The sequence below is a fragment of the Homo sapiens genome, chromosome 5 (assembly GCF_000001405.40).
Source record: "Homo sapiens chromosome 5, GRCh38.p14 Primary Assembly".
Classification (NCBI taxonomy): domain Eukaryota; kingdom Metazoa; phylum Chordata; class Mammalia; order Primates; family Hominidae; genus Homo; species Homo sapiens.
In genome coordinates this window covers 108092927-108116327 of record NC_000005.10, presented here as the reverse complement: position 1 = coordinate 108116327, position 23401 = coordinate 108092927, and the positions used below count along the sequence as shown (strand labels likewise).

Below are 23401 nucleotides of genomic sequence, written 5' to 3'. Positions count from 1 at the left end.
AATTAATGATATTCACTACCCTCCCATGGATTGCATATTAACCTCGTAACTACCTAACTTGATTCTCCATCTGCTTTATATTTTGTTGTTCTTTCTCCTAGACCACTATTCTTTAGTAATTTTACGTATATAAGGCAGAGAAACCCTTACTATGCTCCTTATTATATGCTTTCTTAACTTTAGTGTTTTTCTTGTTTCTGTTTTCTTTTTTGTTTACTACATTCTTTCTATGGGGATTTTGTTCACTGTCACCTTTATTTCAAAATTTTTGTTAGATCTTTTCATCTTTTCTCAGGCCATGACTTATTCAGTAAAATTTCCAAGCCAATGGTTATTTAGCTTAAAAACAAACAAAAACAGTCATGGAAGGTGGTCAGCCTGTTATGTTATTTACTTTCAGTGTGATTTTGGACAAGCTCATTTTAATCTCTTTGAGCCTTGACTGCCTCAGCTTTTAAAGTAGATGAATATCTTACCTGTCTGCAGGCAGGGGGCCAGATGAGAAGATATCTTGGGGCCTTCTCTTTGATCTCTGATAGCTCTAATTCTTACTGCTTTTCATCTTGCTCAGTTGCTCTTTACTGACATGGTGTGTATATGTGGGTCATTTTGTAGAACTACTCAGAGAAATAACTTTTTCAACCTTTAATTAGTTGTAAATATTTAAAAACTGGGAGATTTTACTCTTCTTTTTTTTTTTCTTAAAGATGGAAAGATGTGAAAATACTGTGTCTGCATTTCTCCTTTCCCCCAGCAGCTTGAACTGAGTGTTGACGACCACTTCTATCTAGTGTCCTGTCCTTTTCAATTTGCCTCAGTGCCTACCTCACCAATTTTGTAATGAATTGAGCCAATGAGATTTACATAGAAACAGTTAGTGTAAAAAATAAGGTCCGTTCTAGAATTTAAGGACTAAGTTTATATATATGATAGCGTGAGCTTTTTTAAAAAAAATTTTAAATACTATAATTTTTTTTTGTATCAGCTTCAACCTACCTACATACTCAATTCTCATATTTTAAAAACTGACTTAGGCTTAAAAAAACAGTGAATAAAGCCCATGCTTCTCCTGTTTCTCTTTTTTTCCTCCTAGTTTGAACATTCTGATTTTCCTCTGGGTACTAGGAAGAGGTGAATACTTTTGTTTGCCTTACTTGAGTACTTACTGTTCTAGCAGTTTATTGCACTTGGACAATAGACACCTTCCTATATTTCCTAATAATCATTCCTCAGGTTTTCTTTAAATACGTCTTGAATTTGCCCAATTGTCATTGATGCAGTCATTTAAAAAATTGCTTGGGGATTATGATCTTATATACACTTAAAAGAGTGCACACCATTTTGAAATCACTACATTTTTTGGACTACATTTCTGTATAGGATTAGAGACACTCTGTTAATATTCCAGATAAGAAATCTGCAACATGTTTGTCATTTACCTTGTTTCTCTGGACTTAGGACATGAAATTCTATCCAGCAGCTTGAGAGCAATATTAAAAAATGATGTAGTATCACAAGCCAATGATAAATATGTTCACCCTAAGAATTTAAATGTGGTGAATAGATGCAGTAGTGTGATTGGCATTCAGTGGCCTATCTCTAATTCTCTTTACAGGCATTGAAAAGCCAACCAAGCTTGAAGCATTTTCAATGTGCCAAGCATTTGTGTGCTCCACTCAGTATCAGGGTAAATTTTGCCCATTTGAATGTCTTTCTGATATACATAGTTTGAAAAACAAATGTCCACAAATAAGAATATAAAAGTCACTTAGTATCCTACACCATCACAAACAAAGAATGTGGGGCTACTGAACACACAACAACTTTATTTCTCATTATTGGCTATAAAATTATTTTCTTGCCTAATTTGTTTGAATCAGACATTTATTGATGTATACCTAATTGTCTTTCATTAACAATAACACTCAATATAAATGATGATTTATGCTTGATGTCATACTGAATTTATAATAATTTGGAAACAAGAGACAACTTATAGGGAATTGAATGGAATAAACTCACTAAGATACAAATCAGAAGTACTTTAAGAGTAAGCAAATGGTTACTATGCACAATAAATAAACAATTGTAAAGTTCTGGGAACTGGATTATGTAAAATATGTACATGTTATGTTCGTACAATGGAGTATAAACTCTTCGGGAGGGGTACTTTCTTGTTTATTTATTACAGAATGATAATGAAGATTAGCTTCATGACCTTCATATACAGCACTGCTGTGTAATGCAAATAGTTGACTGCCACAAGTCTTTTTGTATAACTGAAAGAGACATACAAAGGATTATTCTGTTTAAATGACTCAAAATTAATAATTATACATTTGTTCTATGTGTAAAAGTTCTAAAAATAGAAGAAACTGAAATGGATATTTCTTAATTAATTATGCCTTAATTCTGATGCACATTTTCTTTTGAAAAGCCAATTTTCTGAAGAATAGTTACACACAGCTTCATTCCTGGCATGACTATTTCAAGTGTAGTGTTTAGGGATTATGTCAGATTAGACGGATATATGGTATAGAATGATTCTGGGGATAGACTTTCCAGATTAACAAGAAAAGAGAATTTTAAAATACCTAAATTTAGGTATTTTACCAATTTAGGTATACCTAAAATTGGACATTTTTAATGTGAGGAGTGTTTAGTTCAATGGGGACATTTCTCAGAGAGATTTACTACTTTTTAATGGTGCCTCTGAGAGTCCTTCAGTAGCTGTCCTCCATCGGAGAACATCTCAGAATTACTTTTTTTCTGTCCACTTGCCCATAATTTTCATTTACTTTACTGGATTTGCTCACATTTATTACCCCCATTCATATTTCCTTCCATTCTCGATACACTGGAAGAAAAATTTATTTATATATATATATGTGTATAGCATATATACACATGTGCATATGTTGGAAAAATTGTTTTTTTAAATATATACACATAATGCAAGCTTAGCATAGCATCTATCTCTCTTGCATATTAGATTTAAAGGCTCAGTAGTTAAAGTGTGTTTTAAAGTTGCAGATTACATCCCGTCTTTTAACTTAGAAAATAAAGAGACTGAGATCTAGTCAGGTTAGCCACATGCCCATGTGGTCTTCAGACAGAGGCAGAGCTCAGATGGGAATGCATGTCTCTGATGCCCTGCCCATACCTTCCCTGCAATACTGCCAAGTCTGGATAAAAGTGGTCTGGGTGTAAGTAAGAAGTATGAGAAAGACTGGGTGAGTTATTAGCAAACTCTAGATTGCAGTCAACTTGATCACTGTATGCTAGGCAATTTTAGGAGTATGACTTTCTGTCTGTAAATGGAGGTAGAATAGATGAAGAATATTAGAAAGATTAATTAAGAATATGAATGGTGAATTAAGAAAAAGTTTGGGACCAGTGAGATGTGACATAATGTCTACTCCCACTTTACCCCTATTTTACAGTTAAAATATCAGAAGATACCAGAGGAAGTAAAGTTTTATGAAAATACAATATTTGTTAAATTTATAATATTTTGACCTTGAAGCATATTAGCATACCATTTCATCTGTAGAAGTTTGATTTGGATCTTTTTACAACTTTCATTTCACTCTTGATCATGTTCATGCATTCCTTCTCCTTCTTGAGCAGTAATATATTTTAATACCTGATTAAATGCCTTGTTCACTAATTCTATCATCTATGTCATTTATATGTCTATTTATATTGATTGTTTTTTCTCCTCATGGGATATGTTTTCCTGTTTCTTTTCATGCCTAGTAATTTTGACCAGATGACCAACGTTGTGAATATGACGATGTTTGGTATTGATTTTTAAAAAATTCTTTAAATATTTCTGGGCCTTGTTCTGGGAAGAATTAAAGTTACTTGGGCACAGTTTGATGGGTAAATCCTGAACAGTGTTTAGTCAAGGGCTAATTCAGCCACACTAGTGAGGCATTGCCCTTCTGAGTCCTTGACTCAATGCCCTGTGAATTAGCAGGTCATTTCTATCCAAGCTCATGGAAGTATCAAGTACTCCCAGGCCTAAGCTCCAGATATTTCCCACTTATTCCTTAATGATGGTTCTTTCTCTGGCCTCAGTAGTTTTCTTTTTTATGTGACCAGACCAGTATTCAACCAAAGACTCAATTGGACTGTGCCTATCTCCAGAGCTTGCTCACTTGCCCTTTCTGTGCATCTGCCTCCTTTCTGGCACTCTTCCCAGCATATTCTGGTCACCTTGGTGTCCTAGAGCCCTAAACTCTGTCTCCTAAGCCAAGCAAGACTGTTGGGCCTGTTTGGGATCTCCTTTCCCTTGCCGCATCCAGAAACTCTCTCCAGGCATTGAACGTTTTACTTATGTATATGGCTGTCCTCATTTGTCTCCTTTCTCTCAGATATTATTATGCAGCATTACCCCTTGTTCAATGTGTGTCAACAGATTTATGACAGAGTGCTAACATGATCTATATACTGGGTTCTCTGAACACTGCTTGAACTTCTGTAAGCTCAAGGGCAGTGACTAAGTAATCAATCCATTTGTAAACATTTATTGAGAGTTAATTATGTAATAGGATTTTATTAATTATTGGAAATACAGAGATGAATCAAGTGTGGTCCCGTAGCCTAGTTGAAAAAGCTAGCATGTACAGACAGTTTTTTACACTGACTGAGATTAAAAGATTATTATAATTGGGGATTATCCTGAGAGATCAGAAGGTCTTAGAAACTTTGTGTTTGCAGGATGTAGCATGTAACTAGATCTTGTATACAGCATTCAATAAATACTTAAGAATGAATGATAGTGTAGCTAATTTATAAGCATATTCTGCTAAGAAATGCTTACAGCCTTTTCTCTTAGTTCCCAAGATAGCTTAAATAAATAAGAATATGATGATGTGTTTTAGAGAAAAATAATCTGACTTCAGTTTGAACTATCATGAATATTATTTATTGACAATTCCAAAAAACTTTAAATGTAACATTGATATCTAAGTTATATAGTCTTGTTTTGTTTCCAATTATCATATCAAACAATTGAAAAATACCAATCCAATCAAACCTTTATTTGTAACTGCTGCTCCCTCTTTCTTCTTTTTCTTTTCTTTTCTTTCTTTTTTTTTTCTTCTTTTTACTTATTTCTGTTCATGTTTTGAAAAGCAGGGTCTGCAGATAGTTATTTATATGTATGAATTCACTGGTTCATTCTAGTGCGAAATAGGTCATTCTGAAACAGTGAGAAATGTGATTGCTGAATTTCAAGCAGTTTTTGCTGCTCAGCTGGAACTGTAGAAAAAGGAAAGGGGTCAGGCCAGCACTTGTTGAAGATTTCTTGTTGCCATTGTCCTAGTAAAAGAGACTTGATGCTGGTGAATGTGGACTATTCAATGTATTAGGGAGGAGGAAAGGGAGGCTTAGTACCTAGTTTAATAATTATTATGATATTTTAGTTTAACCACTCTTTAGAAGGTTAATACAAAAAATCAAATGCCATCCTAATAAAGATGTGCAGGGCTTTTTCTCCTTAAAAAGAAACTAGGTACAGCAAATAATGGCACTGTGAAAACTTTGAGGCACAAATTCGCCCCTTTTTTTTTTGCATGCTAATATACTGAAAAAGAAAGAAAGCTGCAGTAGGATTGGCAGGTTATGATTCTCATAAAAAATAACAAATTTTTAAACAAGAAAATAAAGAATACTTTGAAAAAATTGTACATTACTCAGCATCGAAAAATGGAAATCATTTAATCTTGTGCCTTCTTCTCCTCTGTGGAAACTAGGGTTCTAAATAGGAAACTACTTTCAAATGGTAAACTGTTTACAAATTTGATAAAAAGAGCCCATTAATTAAAATCTGATTCCCACATTCAAGTGACAATTTTCTTTATGAATACATGCATTAATTCATAGGTTTTTTGTTTTGTATGACATAGCTGTGATGTACCGCAATTATTTCCATTAATATCTAGTTAAGAAATTTCAGAAATTCTATTTTTAGAAATATGTACTTTAGTCTATTTCAGTTGTTAATATAAATAAATAGACTATATTACTGATGAATTTCTTTCAAATTAAACTTGAAGAGAGGATCTTATAAGAGATTAATTCAAAATTATGCTCAGGTTCTGCTTGGGTGTTCTTGAACCCAGTAAACCACTGGATTTTAAAACAAGTGAGTGAGAATGAGTACTGACAGAACAGTGAGAGTTTTGCTTGGCTGGCCAAGGAGGAGGTGTGAGCTACGGGCACACCCTTCCCATTTAGAAGCTGTGTGGTACCAATAGGCTATGATCTTAATCACTTATTTACCTGTAACCTAGAAGAGAATGAAGGTATGTGACTCAGTCATATGGCAGACTTTTAAATGGAAATATTCATTATAAGGAAAAGGAATTCTTTCTCTGATTTTAATAGAATGGAAGTGTTCTCTCCCTCAACCCCATGACCCCACCTTCTGTGGACTGAATGAATTTGATGTTTGAAAAGTGATTCAGATAAAATGTAGTATTGTGATCAAAGATGTCTCAGAACATCTTAATCATGTATTGCTCTTGTATTGATATACATTGTTTACATTGAGCTAATGCAATAATGTAATTAAATATTCCCATAGTACAGTATGGGAATCTGGGAGTGGGGCACTAACTGGTATTCCATTCTGTGGGGGAAAGAAATTTCTCTTCTTATCCCTTACTAGGTTCATGGCTCAGACCCCTATAACAAGACAGATAATCAAGAAAAAAAACATACAAATGTATTTAAATATAAGTTTTATGTGACATAGGGGCTTTCATAAGGAAATTAAAACCTAAAGAAACAGGTAAACCTGTATATTTTTTATGCTAGGTTTGATGAAAAAGTCAGTCAATACAGAGAAGTGTGATTGGACAAAAGGGTTATGATCTAATGGTAATAAACTGGGAAGAACTTACCAAGTCTTGTCTGTTGAGATTCTTCTCTGTGTCCCTGTATCATCAGACATGAGGATGTTCCTTTCTTGTGGATATAGAGTGGGCACCTCTCACATGAAAGTCTTATGACCTGCTTCAGGGGAAGGTCAGAAAAAGGATGTGGGGAAGGTGAGAGTGACCTTCCTCCTTCTGCTATTTTCTCAAATGCCAAGGTACCATATTTTGGGGAAGTGTGTCCTGACCCTCATCAGTTCTCTCCATTACTCTTTGTCCTTCCTTTTGTAAATCTCAGGTATTTCCCTTACTGTTCTCCTTTTTACTTTCCCAATAGGTCTTTGAAAGTGTGAGTCTTGGCTGGGCGCAGTGGCTCACGCCTGTAATCCCAGCACTTTGGGAGGCCGAGGTGGGCGGATCACCTGAGGTCAGGAGTTCGAGACCAGCCTGACCAACATGGAGAACCCCATCTGTACTAAAAAATATGAAATTAGCTGGGCGTGATGGTGCATGCCTGTAATCCCAGCTACTCAGGAGGCTGAGGCAGGAGAATCGCTTGAACCCGGGAGGCGGAGGTTGCAGTGAGCCGAGATCACACCATTGCACTCCAACCTGGGCAACAAGAGCGAAACTCTGTCTCAAAAAAAAAAAAAACAAAAACAAAGTGTGAGTCTTTTGGCCCACTGGGGAAACATATAATGGGGGTGCTTTTCCTAACTTGCCTTGTTTTAAGTAAGGACACAGATCCAGGATTTGTAAGGAGTGTTCTACTTAGTGCTGAAAAAATTGGAGAGGATAACAAAGTATTTTTTTACAGTAGAAAACTAAAGGAAAAATTAAGAAATCTTTAGTAATTGTTACCCATGTCTTTATTTAAATATATAGATCTATCCTAACATGATTATTCTTAGACATAACAACTTCATTCATTCATGAATCTATCAAACCTTTAAACGTGCTAGATATGCACCCCTAAGTGCCCCAAATTGACTCCTATATCTAAAGAGCTCATGATACTTTATAGTTTTCTAAACACTTTCATTAAGGTTCATCTGATTGTTTATCTACTTTTTTAACAAATACTGTTGATTTCCCTATTGTTAGCACTGGAGTTACAGCAGTGAATAAAATAAAACTACACTGTCTTTGTGGGGTTATATTCCAGCAGGAAATGGATAATGGACAAGTAGAAATATTCTTTACATCACATAGTTGGTAAGAAAAGTATAAGAGATTAAATGGATGTAGAAGGTGGGGTATATGTTTGCAGTTTGAAATACAGCTCATGGAGGAGCTATCACTGAAGGAGAAACTTAAGTAAAATCAAGGAGTAAGCCACATGGATAAATGAGTAAACAGTACGTACAAAGTCCTTGAAGCAGAAACACACTAGTGTGTTTGAGAAACAAAACGGAGGGCAGTATAGCCAGACCAAATCAGAGAAGGAAGGAAAGGTAGCAAATAAGGTTGGGGTGCGAGCCAACAGGCAGATTATATTGGGCCTTAATAGGTCATGCAAAGGGGTCTGGATTTTATTCTAGGTGCAATGGAAAGCCATTGGAAGATTTTGAACAGAATGAGAATGAGGTCTCTCTTTTCTTTTTCTTTTTTCTTTTCTTTTTTTTTTTTGAGACAGAGTCTTGCTGTGTTGCCCAGGCCGGAGTGCAGTGGTGCCATCTCAGCTCACTGCAAGCTCTGCCTCCCGGGTTCATGCCATTCTCCTGCCTCAGCCTCCTGAGTAGCTGGGACTACAGGTGCCCGCCACCATGCCTGGCTAATTTTTTGTATTTTTAGTAGAGATGGGGTTTCACCGTGTTAGCCAGGATGATCTCAATCTCCTGACCTCGTGATCTGCCCGCCTTGGCCTCCCAAAGTGCTGGGATTACAGGCTTGAGCCACCGTGCCTGGCCGAGATTTCTCTTAAAGGAATCTAACAAAGTGAAATTGTCAAGCCTCAAAGGAAAGTGAATTATAAATTAATGACTGATCATGTAGACACTTTGCTTAACAGTTAAAAAGCATTTGTGTCGTTATTTCATCTAATTAACAGAAAACACCAAAATAATATACTTTTCGTAGTTGTATTTAAAATTCAGAGGTTTTCACTTTGGGAAGCCAAGGTGGGTGGATCACCTGAGGTCGGGAGTTCGAGACCAGCCTGACCAACATGGAGAAACTCTGTCTCTACTAAAAATACAAAACTTAGCCAGGCGTGGTGGCACATGCCTGTAATCCCAGCTACTCGGGAGGCTGAGGCAGGAGAATCGCTTGAACCCAGGAGTTGGAGGTTGCAGTGAGCTGAGATCTCACCACTGCACTCCAGCCTGGGTGACAGAGTGAGACTCTGTCTCAAAAAAATAAATAAAATTAAGCTCAGAGATTTTTAAGGAGGAAATTTTACATAATTGATTTTTATAATATTTTCCATTTTTCTTGTTTTCTGAGCATTTCCTTTAATTTTTTTCACCTCTTTAAAAAATAACTTTATTGAGATGTAATTTACATACCACAAAATTCACCCATTTAAGGTGTACTATTCCATGGTTTTAGTGTATTCACAGTGGTTTAGTATATTCATATTTAGTATATTCACAGTTTAGTGTATTCACTATTGCTACTATCTAATTTCAGTAAATTTTCATCAGTCCCAAAAGAAATTCTGTAACCCATAGCATCACTCCTGATTTATTCCTTTTCCTCAGCCCTTGGCAACTACCAATCTACTTTTTGTCTCTATGGATTTGCCTATTCTGGACATTTCATATAAGTGGAATACTGTAATATAATATGTACCCTTTTATGTTTGGCTTTTTTCATGTAATACAATGTTTTCAGTGTTCTTCCATGTTGTAGCACGTATTCACTTTCACACTTTCTTTTTATTTCCAAATAATATTCCATTGTACTGATACACCACATCTGTTCATTAGTTGATAGACATTCTGGTTGTTGCTACTTTTTTGCTATTGTGAATATTTGTATATACATTTTGGTGTGGACATATGTTTCCATTTCTCTTGGATATATACCTAGGAGTAGAATGGCTGGGACGTATGGCAACTTTACATTTAATATTCTGAGGAACTCCCAGACTTCCTTCCAGAGTGGTTGCACCATTTTATAATCCTGCTAGCAGAGTTTAAGAGTCTAATTTCTACACATTCTTGCCAACACTTGTTATTATCTGTCTTTTCAATTTTATTTTCATTAATGTTCACATTTAGAGGAACTAGAAACCTGTCCTGCTTGCTTGTTCTACATGCTCAGTTTTTCCCTGCTATAGACTGTGGTGGAGATGGTACCTCTGGTATGGTAGAAAGAGCCCTAAACTTAGAAGAATTGGTGTGAGTCCCAGTTTAGCACTTACTGCTTGAATGACCTTGAATAAATCATTCTCTTCACTTCTGTGAGCTTCAGTTTCCCCCTATTTAAAATAGGATTAACCCTTGCTTTCCGGCGATGATCCAGTAAAGCAATATGTAAAATATATTAGAAGATCAGATTCTTCCTCCTGTTCCTTTTCAGTCTCCCTCCGTTTTACTCTCTCTTTGATGCATATTTCTTAAGTAAATAAATAAGGAGAGATATTAAATAATTTTGCCTTAATGGCCTTTCCCTAATAAGATATAAACCCTAAACACGTTTTAAATTTCCTTTCTGTCTTTGTAATGGGTAGTTAATGTTAAAGTTAGTTGTATCAGCAGAAAAGTTGAAAGCAAAAGCAAAGTTTGTCTTCTGGTCTGTTCCATTTGGGAGGAATTTTATAATTTGTCTAGGATAATAAATGAAGTAGATAATCGACATACATGAATAATTAAGAGATGACTATATGGCTCTTTTTCTTTTCTAGTATTTAAATTGTTTTTCCACAGTTTTCTTATTTATTCTTATAACTTGAGTATGTATCCAAAGAAAGCTGTGTTTTCTCCTTTACCTTCTTTTCAGATAAAGGCAACTTTGAGAACATATGCAAGATCTAATATCTTCAAAACAGCATGTGGCCAAAGCCTTCACTGGTTTACAGCAGCCAGACTTTTCTGCCGCAGTTTTGCCTGAATCACCTTTTGAAGCCAAATTGACACAATTACAATCTTTCACAAGTGCCATCAACTTTCTTTCCATTGTGTTTTTCCCTCTTTGTGCCACTGGCCTGGCCCATTATTCTTGTCCAGCCCCCAAGGTCCACTTCAGTTGCGCCTTCTCCAAGAAGCCTTCTCTTCTCTTTCTTCATTCATTAGAATCCTTTTTATTTACTGCTATTTTTTGATACAAAAAGCAATTCATACATTAAAAAAATCACGGCCAGGTGTGGTGGCTCACGCCTGTAATCCCAGCACTTCGGGAGGCCGAGGCGGGCGGATCACAAGGTCAGGAGATCCAGACCATCCTAGCTAACACGGTGAAACCCTGTCCCTACTAAAAATACAAAAAATTAGCTGGGCATCGTGGCGGGCACCTGTAGTCCCAGCTACTCAGGAGGCTGAGGCAGGAGAATGGCGTGAACCCGGGAGGTGGGGGTTGCAGTGAGCCGAGATGGCACCACTGCACTCCAAGCCTGGGCAACAGAGCGAGACTCCATCTCAAAAAAACAAAACAAAACAAAACAAAAAACATAATTGTGTACTCCCCAAAGTACTCTATGTGTAACCTTCCAGTCTTTTAAAATACATATCCAAATACATTTTTGACAAAATGAGAATATCCCATATATGTTGTTGTGCACTTGCTTTGTCACAAAACTGTGGATCATCTATTGCACTCACTGAATGACTCACTTTTTATTTGTTTTTATTTAATGTTTTTATGTGGATTAGTCTTACTCGTCCAATTAAAATAAGACACATCTTGGAGGACAGAGACTATATCTTAACTCTCAAACTTTTGTTCTTCTCCATCAGGAATGCTCAGAGCTCTGCTCTGTAGGAGGTACTCAATAAGTGTTGTTGGTTAAATTGGACATTTTGAGCCTATACTTAGTGTGATGTTCTATAAATTCAAGAGAAGTCTTAGAGGATTGACTTCTTTATTTTCACTATAGGTAATCTTTCTAATGAAAATAACATTTAGAAGTACAATTGCATGTAAAATTGATATTTGTTTGCAGGGCTGGGCACGGTGGCTCATGCCTGTAATCCCAGCACTTTGGGAGGCCAAGGCAGGCAGATCACCTGAGGTCAGGAGTTCGAGACCAGCCTGGCCAACATGGTGAAACCCTGTTTCTACTAAAAGTACAAAAAATTATCCAGGCGTGGGTGCGCATGACTGTAATCCCTGCTACTCGGGAGGCTGAGGCAGGAGAATTGCTTGAACCCAGGAGGTGGAGGTTGCAGTGAGCCAAGATCGCGCCACTGCACTCTAGCTTGGGCAACAAGAGTGAAGCTGCATCTCAAAAAACAACAACAACAACAACAAAATTGGTTGCAGAAAGAATAAAATTGATGTCAGAAATTTGAGAAGACCCAGCATAAGGCATACTGTCTGGCACAATTCACTTTGTAAAATGAGGGAAAAGGATAGCGGGTAGAGGGGAATAAAAAGGGTAAATCAACAAAAAGTTTAACAGTGACTTGGTTGGGGACTGAGAGAAACGGTAAATGAAGGGAGACTTTTTGAGAAGTCAAATACATGTAGTCAATACAAAAACTACGGAAGAGACCTTTTATCCTTTTAACTATAATAAAAGCCCTACTGGCTTCCCAAAATACCTATTCCATCAAGGAAAAAGATAAGCTTTGTGTGTAAATGAAAGAGAATATCTCTTCTTTGTCCTGAAACAGTTGAAAAATAAAAAGTTTTACTACAGGAGTATGAGATTGCCTGAAAAATACATGACATAAAAGCTAAAAATTAATCTTTTTTTTTGTTTGACATATATTTGTTTACTTTTGATTCTCACAAAGACTGTTTCATTTTTTCCTAAATTAGATTAATAGTATTTTATACTAAAGGTTCACATTGACGATAGCAGCGATAGGATCCACTGACCAAAAGATTATTTTTAACAGTAGCAAATAAATGTATTGTTTTTGAAAGAGGCAATGGTCTGACTTTGTGAATTTTCTAATGAATGCTATTTGAATGTTAAAGTTCTTTATGCCACTGGAAAGCAGAATGGCTGCAGCTTAAAACCGTAAGCTGCAGGAAGTTTCCTGAACTTTTAGAAGTTGCATTACTGAATACAGGTTACCTTTTGCATAATTGTATAAAGCTGATGAAATGGGTCTCTTTTGCTCTGATTGCTTTCCAAATTCTACCCAAGTGAATTCACAGCTGATGGTTTTAAGCAGAGCAAAGACAGATTAACTGGCTCACATAAAATAAAACCTTTAGAGACAGAAAAATGGAATAGTCCTAAAGCTTCACAAGATGTTATACATATTTTCAAAGTACCCAGTAATTCTTATGGCAAATATCATCCCCCACTCTGATTAGCTTCACTGTGGTGTTTATAACATATTTTACCTTGTGCTGTTAGTTGATGTTATATCTTTTAGTTTGTCAACTATGCTTTACAGTGTTTAGAATAATAAATGTTATTGGCAGAAAAAAATGCCATGAGAAAATTGCTTTGTCTTAAGATTTCTCTATCTTATAAGATATATTATTTATATATTTATTCTGCCAGGAATTCTTTAGATGGTTAAACATTAATGACACACATGGAGGCATTATTTCTGAGTGTGTGTTTGCAGAAGTATCTTTTCATAAAGGTTTTTGTCTTGCATTGATTTTGTACTGTATATCTACACACACCATTGTGCAATGGTGAACTTAAATGAAAGCAAAACAAAAGAGAAGCCAAAAGTAACACAGTTGCTGTGGTCTGGAGCCCTTCTGACCAACAGAGTAGCCTAAGCTAAAATGGAGATACCCCACCCCACCGCTACACACACTTTAAATGCAATAATGTAGGCATTATTTTCATTGTGTAAATAAGGAATCGGTATCTCACAAAGGTTTAAGCAATTTGCCGAGATCTCAGTTAGTGGTGAAATCAGAATTAAAATTCAGGTCTGTCTGATTGGAACCATGAATTTGGCTACCTTCCAAACTCATGGTTTGGCTACCTCAGTTCTAAAAATATGATAGACATAAAGTCATTTTTAGTAAAAGAAAATTAAAATTTGTAATAAGTTATATTCTTAATTTGATACTGAAAACAGATACGGAACTGAAGATTTTAGCATTTAAAAATAGTGCTAAGTCACTTCTGAGTTTTTGTTTTGGGACCAGGCTCTCCTGTGCCCTCTGTATCTCTCCAGATTCAGACTCCATGAATCTCTCTCTTTGGAGACAGAAACACTAATTGCCATCTCTCTCTCAGAGCTGTATTTAATCCTTCTTTCTTGGGGCAGAGTACAAGCTGCCGAAACGAATTCAGCTCATCTCACTTGGGCCCCAGCCACTTAAATTCCCTGCCGCACCAATTGCCCTAGTCCTGGAGTGCAGCCACCCTGGGAACCTGTGAACCCATTCACACAGGTCTCTGTCAAATGTGCCACTTTCTCAAGGAGTTTTTTGCTTCTGTGATGTCTACTTTGAACTTTTTGCAAAGTATATCCTTAGCATTTCTCCCAAACTTAAGTGGCATGCCCTGTACAGTCAATTCTGTATTTTTAGTAGCTTTGAAACATTTTTGTTAGTTAAAATAAAAGCCACAGATTAGTGTAGGTGGTAATTAAAAGTTGGTACTTTTTGTCCAATACTTTTCCCTGCCCATGCACTATTGAGAAGCGTGGGAGAAGATTGCTTGGGAAATTACTATCACAAAGTATATTTTAAAATGGCTAATTATAAACATTTTCTCCTCTTTTTGTATCTCTTAGTGTTGAAATAAGGCACAGAGGTAACTCAATTTAGTTCAAAAGCCATTTTCTAAATGAGAGGAATTAGCTGAGAACTGTTACATTAATAGACATTGCCAGTGACTGTATTCTGCATACAAAACACTTGTTCATGTTTTCCTTGACCTCCTTTGATTGGGCCCAGCACTAAGTTTATACTGAATGGGCTCAGTCTGGTCTTTGGCAAGCATCAGGGAGTAATGAATAGTGGAACATCGAAAGGCTTAAATGTCCTGGCACAGGCCCTGTGTCAGTATGATGAGCTAACCATGGCATTGTTCAATGAGAAGGCCCTGTGTTCCTTTGGAAATAAAATCTTGGCTTGTGGACAGAGGTCTATGTACACACATTGAATTTCTCTGTCTTCCTGCTATGCTATTCCATTCATAATTAAACTTTGAAAGCAAAGCTCTGAAGAGGTTCTTCAATGCCTCTCCTCTGAGTATGCCCAGAAACAAGTGGCTGATGTAAAAATGGCATAGCTCTACTCTTTTATTTGGGAGCTCTCTGAAATTTAAGTCCAAAGACTTGAAGAGCAAACTCTTTAAGCTGGACAGCAGTGTAGACATTCACTGTTTCTCCCCTCAAAAGGTCTTCCCTCTGAAAGCTGTGGTAATCACAAATTTTTTTTTGCTGCAGAATTTCTGATGTTCTGATCTTTTTTGTTTACAGCTCCATCTGTATTTGTAGTGAAATGTCTAAATTTGTCTCAGTACATCTCAATTCCAGGAATGAATTGATCTTCTTATGGGCAGTTCCCCCTTGAAAGCAAAGAAAAGGAGGAAAACTAAGCTCTAGAGATCATTAAAGCTATGACATTATAACTTGCCTTTTCTAATTTTTACTCTTAAAAACAGAACAAAAATTTTATAGTCAGAGTCTGCCAGAAAGTACCTGAAGAAGCCAGGAATATTTGGGTAATAGAAACATATGCTGTTGATATTGTAAATTATCAAGAAGAGTCTCCTAGGAGTTCTTCTAAAGCATATTTTAATTCTGTGTTATAAAACCAGCCTCCTGGTAGGGTATAAAGAGTTAAATAAAATGATCAAGAACCTACATTATGCAAGTATTTAAAATCTGAAGATCTTTTAGAAATACATGTTGAAATACTTACATAATAACAACATAATTTTTGGGATTTGCTTAGAAACAGTTTGATGTAAGGATAAATAGGTCAGCATGTAAAGGAAATAAGATTAGCCATGAATTCATTGTTGACCTGGGTGATGCATACATGCACATTCTTATACTATTCCCTCTACTTTTTAGATGTTGGAAATTTTTTATAATTAAAAGTTAAAAACTTTTTTCTGATGGTTCAGACTGATGGTTTCATAGGATGAAATGTTTTCTTGTTAAAGAAACAGAGTCCAAAGATCTAAGGTACTTTAGAATCTTTAAAAATTTGTATGCTATGCAAATAATACAATTGTAAATAATCTATTTTTACTCCAGTGATTGCATTTAGAATGCTAGCTGTGAATGTGGATATAAAAATCATACTATAAATAGTATGATACCTGAAATGCTTAGGTCATTGAGATAATTGGGATAGTTTAATTTCTAATATAGGTTATTCACAGGCAAACAATGCTAAAAACATTACTATATTGGAATACATAGCAGTAAACCCACACCAGACAACCTAATTTCTGTGAAAAGATCAAGAAAATGGTTGGATTCTTATGGTTATGATTTATCATACCATTATGGTGTTGGAAACATTTTGATTAATAAAGTGTCAGTTAAGAGAATGAAAGATGAAGCAGGAGTTAAGAATATGCCATCCTCAAACATGCCATTCTGGCATATTAACTATTTTGAGGTAAAGGCACTTGATAAACAGCAGGGGCAAGAAGATCACTCTGACCTTCCTTCTGTTTTGTAAAAGCAGTGGATGAAATTTCCATGTGAAATATGTCCTCCCTCCCTATACCAGAAGGAAAGTATCATTCATATCTAGGATGGTAAGTTGAGGCCAAGGAAAATCTGTACAAACATGAACCTTCATCTTCCTAGTCCCTTCTCTACCCAAAACACTCTAGCCCAAGCCTCTTTGCCTTGTCACATTTTCACAGTTTACTGCTTTTTGTCTGATTTTTTCTAATCTTTTGTCTATAAATCAATATCTAAGTGTTCAACTCTAACTGCATCTTTGGGTCTTCGTTTTCCTATGAAGTCTCCTGTGCCATGTAAAACTTATATTAAATTAATTTGTTTGCTTTTCTCTTTTTGATCTGTCTTTGGTTAGTTTAATTCTCAGGCCTAGCCTAAGAAAACTAAGAGGATAGAGGCAAAATACTGCCCCCCTACAATGTTCTATGTACCCAGTATCACATTATCAGCTATTTTATACTTTTTCTTTGGCTTAGTTCAACCATTAATCAACTATATTAAAGTTCAGGTTTTTAAAAAAAATGTAGTTATATTATTGCTTAGTTGGGGGATGGGCATATCTTGGTGGATTCCCACTGGAAAAGCTTTACTCTAATGAGGCCATTAATGTTAGTATTCTAGGCAATGGGAATATAAAGTAGTTGCTGGTAACTATTGAGTAAGCAGGATGAGTCTTTAATGACTCTGCTCTTATCTATTGCTACTTTTAGTATTTTCTTGAATATAGCAATTCAGAGCCTAAGTAACTGATCTTATATTCTCTGAAGAATGCTACATCCTAGCTAAGAAGTTATTAGTGATGATAAACATGATATCAACATGTAAACATGATATATTCATGTTTACAGTCATTTACTTCTGCCATATGAAAACGTTTAAAGTATATATTTTTTTTCAGCTTGGAAAGTTTGATGGCATTCCATTTGAGAATTTTTTTTTTTTTTTTTTTTTATGAGACAGAGTGTCGCTCTGTTGCCCAGGCTGGAGTGCAGCAGCACGATCTTGGCTCATTGCAAGCGCCGCCTCCCGGGTTCACGCCATTTTCCTGCCTCAGCCTCCCGAGTAGCTGGGACTACAGATGCTCACCACCACGCCCGGCTAATTTTTTGTATTTTTAGTAGAGACGGGGTTTGACCGTGTTAGCCAGGATGGTCTCGATCTCCTGACCTCGTGATCCACCCGCCTCGGCCTCCCAAAGTGCTGGGATTATAGGCATGAGCCACTGCACCCGGCATGAAAAGTATTTTTTTTAATACTGCTTTTTGTGGCAAGTTGACCCAAAAAGTTGAAAGGAGGTGAAATCAAAGCCTTTATTTTTATTTATTTATTTTCAGACGGGGTCTCACTCTGTGGCTCAGGCTGGAGTACAGTGGCATGATCATGGCTCACTGCAGCCTTCACCATCTGAGTTCAAGCTACCCTTCTTTAAGAAATCAAAACATTTATTAGGAAAAAAACTATGATTCATAGACTGTTGCAGATAGACAGGAAAATCATCTTTGCAGTATATGATAGCCCAGATTAGATTTCTGTTTTTTTTTAGAAGATGATCATCAGATATTTATTGAAGTTTTACTGAAGTCACTATGTTTCCATCCATCTGACCATATGCTTGTCCATTTGCTCATTCATTATTCATTTAAGAAGTGTGTACTATGAGCTTCTTCTAGGAGATCTAGTAGTGAATAATAGACAAGCTTTCTGCTGTCATGGAGCTTACATTATAGGGGTTGTGGACAGATAAATATAAAACCTGTTAGACAATATAAAATGTTATTTGGATAGATAAATAAGAAACCTGTTAGACAGTATAAAATGTTATTCAGAGAATTATGGTAGCATGATGTTATGGAAAGAGAGACACTAGGTAGTCAGGAAAGACACCTCTGAAGATATAATTTTTTTTTTTTTTCTGGAGTCTCGCTCTGTCTTCCAGTCTGGAGTACGGTGGCATGATCTTTTCTCACTGCAGCTTCCGCCTCCCGGGTTCAAATGATTCTCCTGCCCCAGGCTCCTGAGTAGCTGGGATTACAGGCGTGCACCACCACGCCCGGCTAATTTTTGTGTTTTTAGTAGAGACGGGGTTTCACCATGTTGGTCAGGCTGGTCTCGAACTCCTTACCTCGTGATCTGCCCACCCCCACCTCCCAAAGTGCTGGGATTACAGGCGTGAGCCACCACTCCCAGCCTGAAGGTATAATCTTTAAGTTGAGATCAGAATATCAACAAAGAGTCAGTCATGCAAAAATGAATTGCTTAGTTCTTTTGTTAAAAACTAGAATGTTAGAGCTATGTCCAACTTTCATAGTGGCAGGCTTTTGTCCAAGTAATATATATGTATTAGTCCATTTTCACAATGCCAGAAAGATACTACCTGAGACTGGTTAATTTATAAACAAAGGAGGTTTAATTGACTCACAGTTCCACACAGCTGGGGAGGCCTCAGGAAACTTACAATCGTGGGGAGGGTGAAGCAGGCACATTCTTCACAAGGCGGCTAGAAAGGTAGAGAGAGAGTGTGAACACACAGGTGAAACTGCCGTTTATAAAACCAGCAGATCTTCTGAGAACTCACTATCATGAAAACAGCATGGGAGAAACTGCCCCCATGATCCATTCACCTCCCACCAGGCCCCTCCCTTGACACCTTGGGATTACAATTTGAGATGAGATTTGGATGGGGACACAGAGCCAAACCATATTAATATATGTATAACCTTAGTTCTACTAGGCCCATCAGTAAACTAGCTAAATGCCCCATGCATGTGCCTTTACATGTGTACCACTCTTTCACTCTTCAACACACCATAGGGGACTTTTAACTTCCAGTGCAAAGCCCAAAGCAGGATGCTTATGTTTGACATACTTCTCTTGCCTTTCATCCATTCTTATGAGGCCTGCCCTCCTTAACCCAGAGCTTCATACTGTCCTCCCATTGCTCAGACAGCTCCTTGTTTCTTGATCCTTTTCCTTCCATACTCACTGGCCATCCAGGCACATTTGTTGCATGTATCCCACACCCCACAAATAAGAAAAGCTGATCTTATTGTTTTTGTCTGCTTAATGCCAAATTCTTGTTCTTCTGGAGTTTACTTCTGGATAATTTGACTCATCCCAAGTTGAGCCAATGAGTGCAAGAAAGCTTGACTATATTCTCCTTCTCTGTGTCCCATTACACTTTCCCTTGCTTGTCAATCATGTTCTCTTACTCCAGGGTAACTAAGCACATTTTCCAGTGGTCTTTTGGGGCATCTTCCATACGTTTGGTATTGATTTTGAACTGCCACCAAAGACATTCTGGAGAAAATGGGCCTTGTAACACTAAGATCGTCCTATGTGGTTAACTGCCTAAATTGAGAGCTGTTATGCTCATGTCTGAAAAACACTATATTTTCTATTTGCACAGGATCAATGTTATTGATAATGAATTAATGGCTTCTTACTGAGCTGAAAAATCATTTTGCTAATGCTCCGTGTGTGGACTCTTCATGCCTAAATAAATTGCCACTTCAGTACATATGCAAAGGATAACTAACATTTATGAACAAAATCAGAGTATTTTGTGTTGCAGTAATCATTCACTTTTTTTGGACTCCTTAGCTTTATGGAATTGCAAACAAGCGTATAACAGTTTTAAAACATTGAATCTATATCTAGGAAGATAACTAGATTGATATGGTAATCATGCTGTTTAAACAGATTTAGAGCAGTTTTAGCTCCTTAGAATTTTAAACTTACAGAACAATTTTATCTATGTTTTTAGAAGTTGTGTTTTGGCATAGAGAGTATGTCCATGTCTTGCAATGATCTTACCTGTCTAGGAAATTGATTTATCAGTTTTTCTTACTTCTGAGAAGACAGTTCTCTTCATAAAATTTCCTAGTTCTTTTCAAACAATCGAATTTGTGTCATTTTGTTCTGTTGAAAACTCTGTGAATGATGCCATTTATCATCATATTAGTTCTTATTATGAATAAATTGTAAGTAAATTTGCCATTTATTGTCTCTAATAATAAAAGTGCTAAATTGTACATAATGGGTTCCTAACACATTATATGTTCCTAATACACCAAATATTGTTAAGATTTGTTGAAGAATCAAAAATTATCTAAATTGTCAATAAATTATCAAAACAGATGCTCTAAAATATTTTGTTAATTTATTTAATTAGCTACTCAACTGATCTACCCTATACAGTATATGAGGTTAGGACTAGAAGAGACTTCTTCAATAATTTCTTTGTTAATAGCTTACTAAAATACTTTATTTAAATTTTATTTAGATTGAGTTTCTCCACACAGTGGACATAAATATCATCCCCTCTCTTTCTTCCTGTATGGTAAAGGTTAAATAAATACCACATATTAAGTGAGAAAGCATCTGAGGTTCCCACCGATATCTGTTCTCAGTTCTTTATTTTCATATTGTAGGTAAAATTTTTTTTTTTTAACCATTTGATGGTATTTATAAAAGTTGATTTGGGACCTTTAAAAGTAGAATTCTGATGGACACATGGAAAATGCTTACCATTAATAGGAAGAAAAATTCATGAGCCTCCCCAAATGTAAATATATTACGTTATGATTTTTAAATGAATGTTGTAAATGGCTTATTTGCTTTTTAAGAGGACTCACTTATATACAAAGTAGAAGAGCTAAATATATCACTTATCATATTTGGCCAGAGAAGCAAGTTTTTTCCTCAGTGTGATGATTGCTTCCCTACCAATTTTGAAGTGCTCTGATAAAATGCATAAGAAATAGGCTTGCCAAGATAAACAGTTTATTTTTTCATAGAAGGTCACTCATTTATTTTTTTTTTTTGCATCCTTGTTCCTGTCAATTTTGATATAACCTCTCAAAATTTAGGCTTCTAAAGTCATTTTTATTTTTGCTTCAGCCTCCATGAGATTCCTAATCATAGTAAATAATGTAATAATTAGTCCCAGAAATGGTTTAGACAATAACATTTTTAGAGCAGACTATGGGGGCCCTTTGCAGATTTTGAAAGGAATCTATTTTCAATTACAAAAAGACCTTTCTTTCATAAAATAGTAGGAACACATTTGCAACTTTATGTTATTTGTCCACAGACCTGTTTTTGTACATGAATGGGGAAGTTGTAAATGTTGTTCATGTGAATGAGCAGAGTGAAGTTTAAAAATAGTTTCAGTATTCTTTAAATATATTGGAGAGAGATGGAATGGATGTGAATATGGAAAAGTTTTCTGGATTTCTTCTCCAAATAATGCAAAATGGTTACATGGTGTTCAACACTTGTCCTGCTGGCATTTGTATGAAGGAAACCTGTTCACCTAATAGTCACCCCTCCTTTGTATACCAGAGTTTGAACAAGTTTCTGGATATAAGGTATACAAAGATACATAATTTTGTCCCTTTTTATCAGAATGATGATTTCATAATTTGTGCAGAAGAGCTTTTCCCTCATGTTCTACCTTTGCTTTTTGATTAACTAAATGGTCAAGGGAGCTTAATTTGTACAAAACAATGACTGAAAAGAGCACACACTACTATGAGCTATAGATTGCGTTTTGTGCCTGTGTTCCAGTAAAGTAACCATTTAAAGTTTAAGAGCTCGAGACTTTTTAACTGTGCAGCACTCAGAGAGCACACTATGTGGAGGTGCAGATTTTGATTTTTAATCCATAGACTTTATGCTATTATTTTAGAACATCAAGTGATCAAGAAACTACAAAAGTGAATACAGACGTCTAAAATTAAGGCTTATAATAGTACATGCAGATGTGTTCAAGCTCCAACATCCTGAATCTGTGGTTTTCTAAGTATTTAATGACTTTGATTTTTAAAAATCACACTGTTTCTTTGTACATTATCATACATTTACATTACATCTTGAAATAAATTTAAGCATTAGAATAAAACATAGACACCCCGCTGAGTTAAAGATTTTAAATCTTATTCTATTGTACTTACCCTTAGACCTACCCACTTAATTCTGAGGTCTGCGTATAATCTTTGCCGATATAAATGCAATAAAATGACTAAATCAGAAGATGTTAAAAACTGTCAGTGTAGAATTGTGAACTTGAATAGGTAGAAAAGGAAATTCTTCTAAGGCAGTAAACACTGTATGATAAAATACTTTTTCATTGGTGACCCTTAGGGAATATCTAGTAGTGTAAATTACCTTTTCAGCTTTTCAAGAGCAGTTTCTTATTAGAAATTCAAAGGAAATCTTCTTTAGTAGTAATCGTTTTAATGCTCCACATCAGTGAAGTCAACTATGGTTCCTCATAAAGTTTTGTTTTTCATTGGTAATTTACTGACAAAATGCAGTGAGGGGTGGTGCAGGACTGAGTTTTCTTATAGAACTCAAGGGGGCAGTAGTTCCAGGGGAACATAACCGTCTGCAACAAACTACTCTTTTTTTTTTTTTAAGTAGATTAAAATTTTTAGTGGGAACATTATAATAACAGTAGGTTATGGCACATAAAATACAGAAAATGGCATTTTTTAATAGTAAACTAATTACCAGCTTTTATGTTAATTAATTATAAACATTGAATTTTAATATATTCTCTGGAAGGGTGCTTGGAAGTATGCATGATGCATGTATGGGGGGAGGGATAGAGTGGTGAAAAAAGAGGTCTGCACAGGTATAAAGTTAAAATATTAATTGTTAAATTTTGTTATTGGTCTAAGTGAATGGTTTAGAAGTGTTTTATTCTCCCTCTCTATTGCCAATTTTCTGTGTAATTATTTCACACATTGATTATATGTTTATATAATA

The 23401-nt window shown here is 35.9% G+C and overlaps 1 protein-coding gene across 5 annotated transcripts in view, besides 1 other annotated feature; it reads left to right on the top strand.

Annotated features, from left to right (window-relative positions):
- FBXL17 (F-box and leucine rich repeat protein 17) overlaps positions 1-23401 on the top strand; it is a 523064-nt gene that overhangs the window by 265771 nt on the left and 233892 nt on the right. Inside the window, exon 7 of one of the 5 annotated variants that reach the window (XM_011543578.3) lies at positions 10833-11203. The exons of the other annotated variants lie outside the window; for them this stretch is intronic. Within the exon in view, the coding sequence (XP_011541880.1) occupies positions 10833-10836 (4 nt within the window). The 3' untranslated portion in view covers positions 10837-11203. Of the gene's footprint in view, positions 1-10832; positions 11204-23401 lie in introns of those variants that run through there. 5 annotated transcript variants of the gene reach the window in all.
- Positions 170-939: an enhancer, noted in NCBI's record as "OCT4-NANOG hESC enhancer chr5:107451090-107451859 (GRCh37/hg19 assembly coordinates)". NCBI's record gives its function as "activates a minimal SCP1, AML or CMV promoter by ChIP-STARR-seq in primed H9 embryonic stem cells {active_cell/tissue: H9 hESC(primed)}" and the evidence as "EXISTENCE:reporter gene assay evidence [ECO:0000049][PMID:30033119]".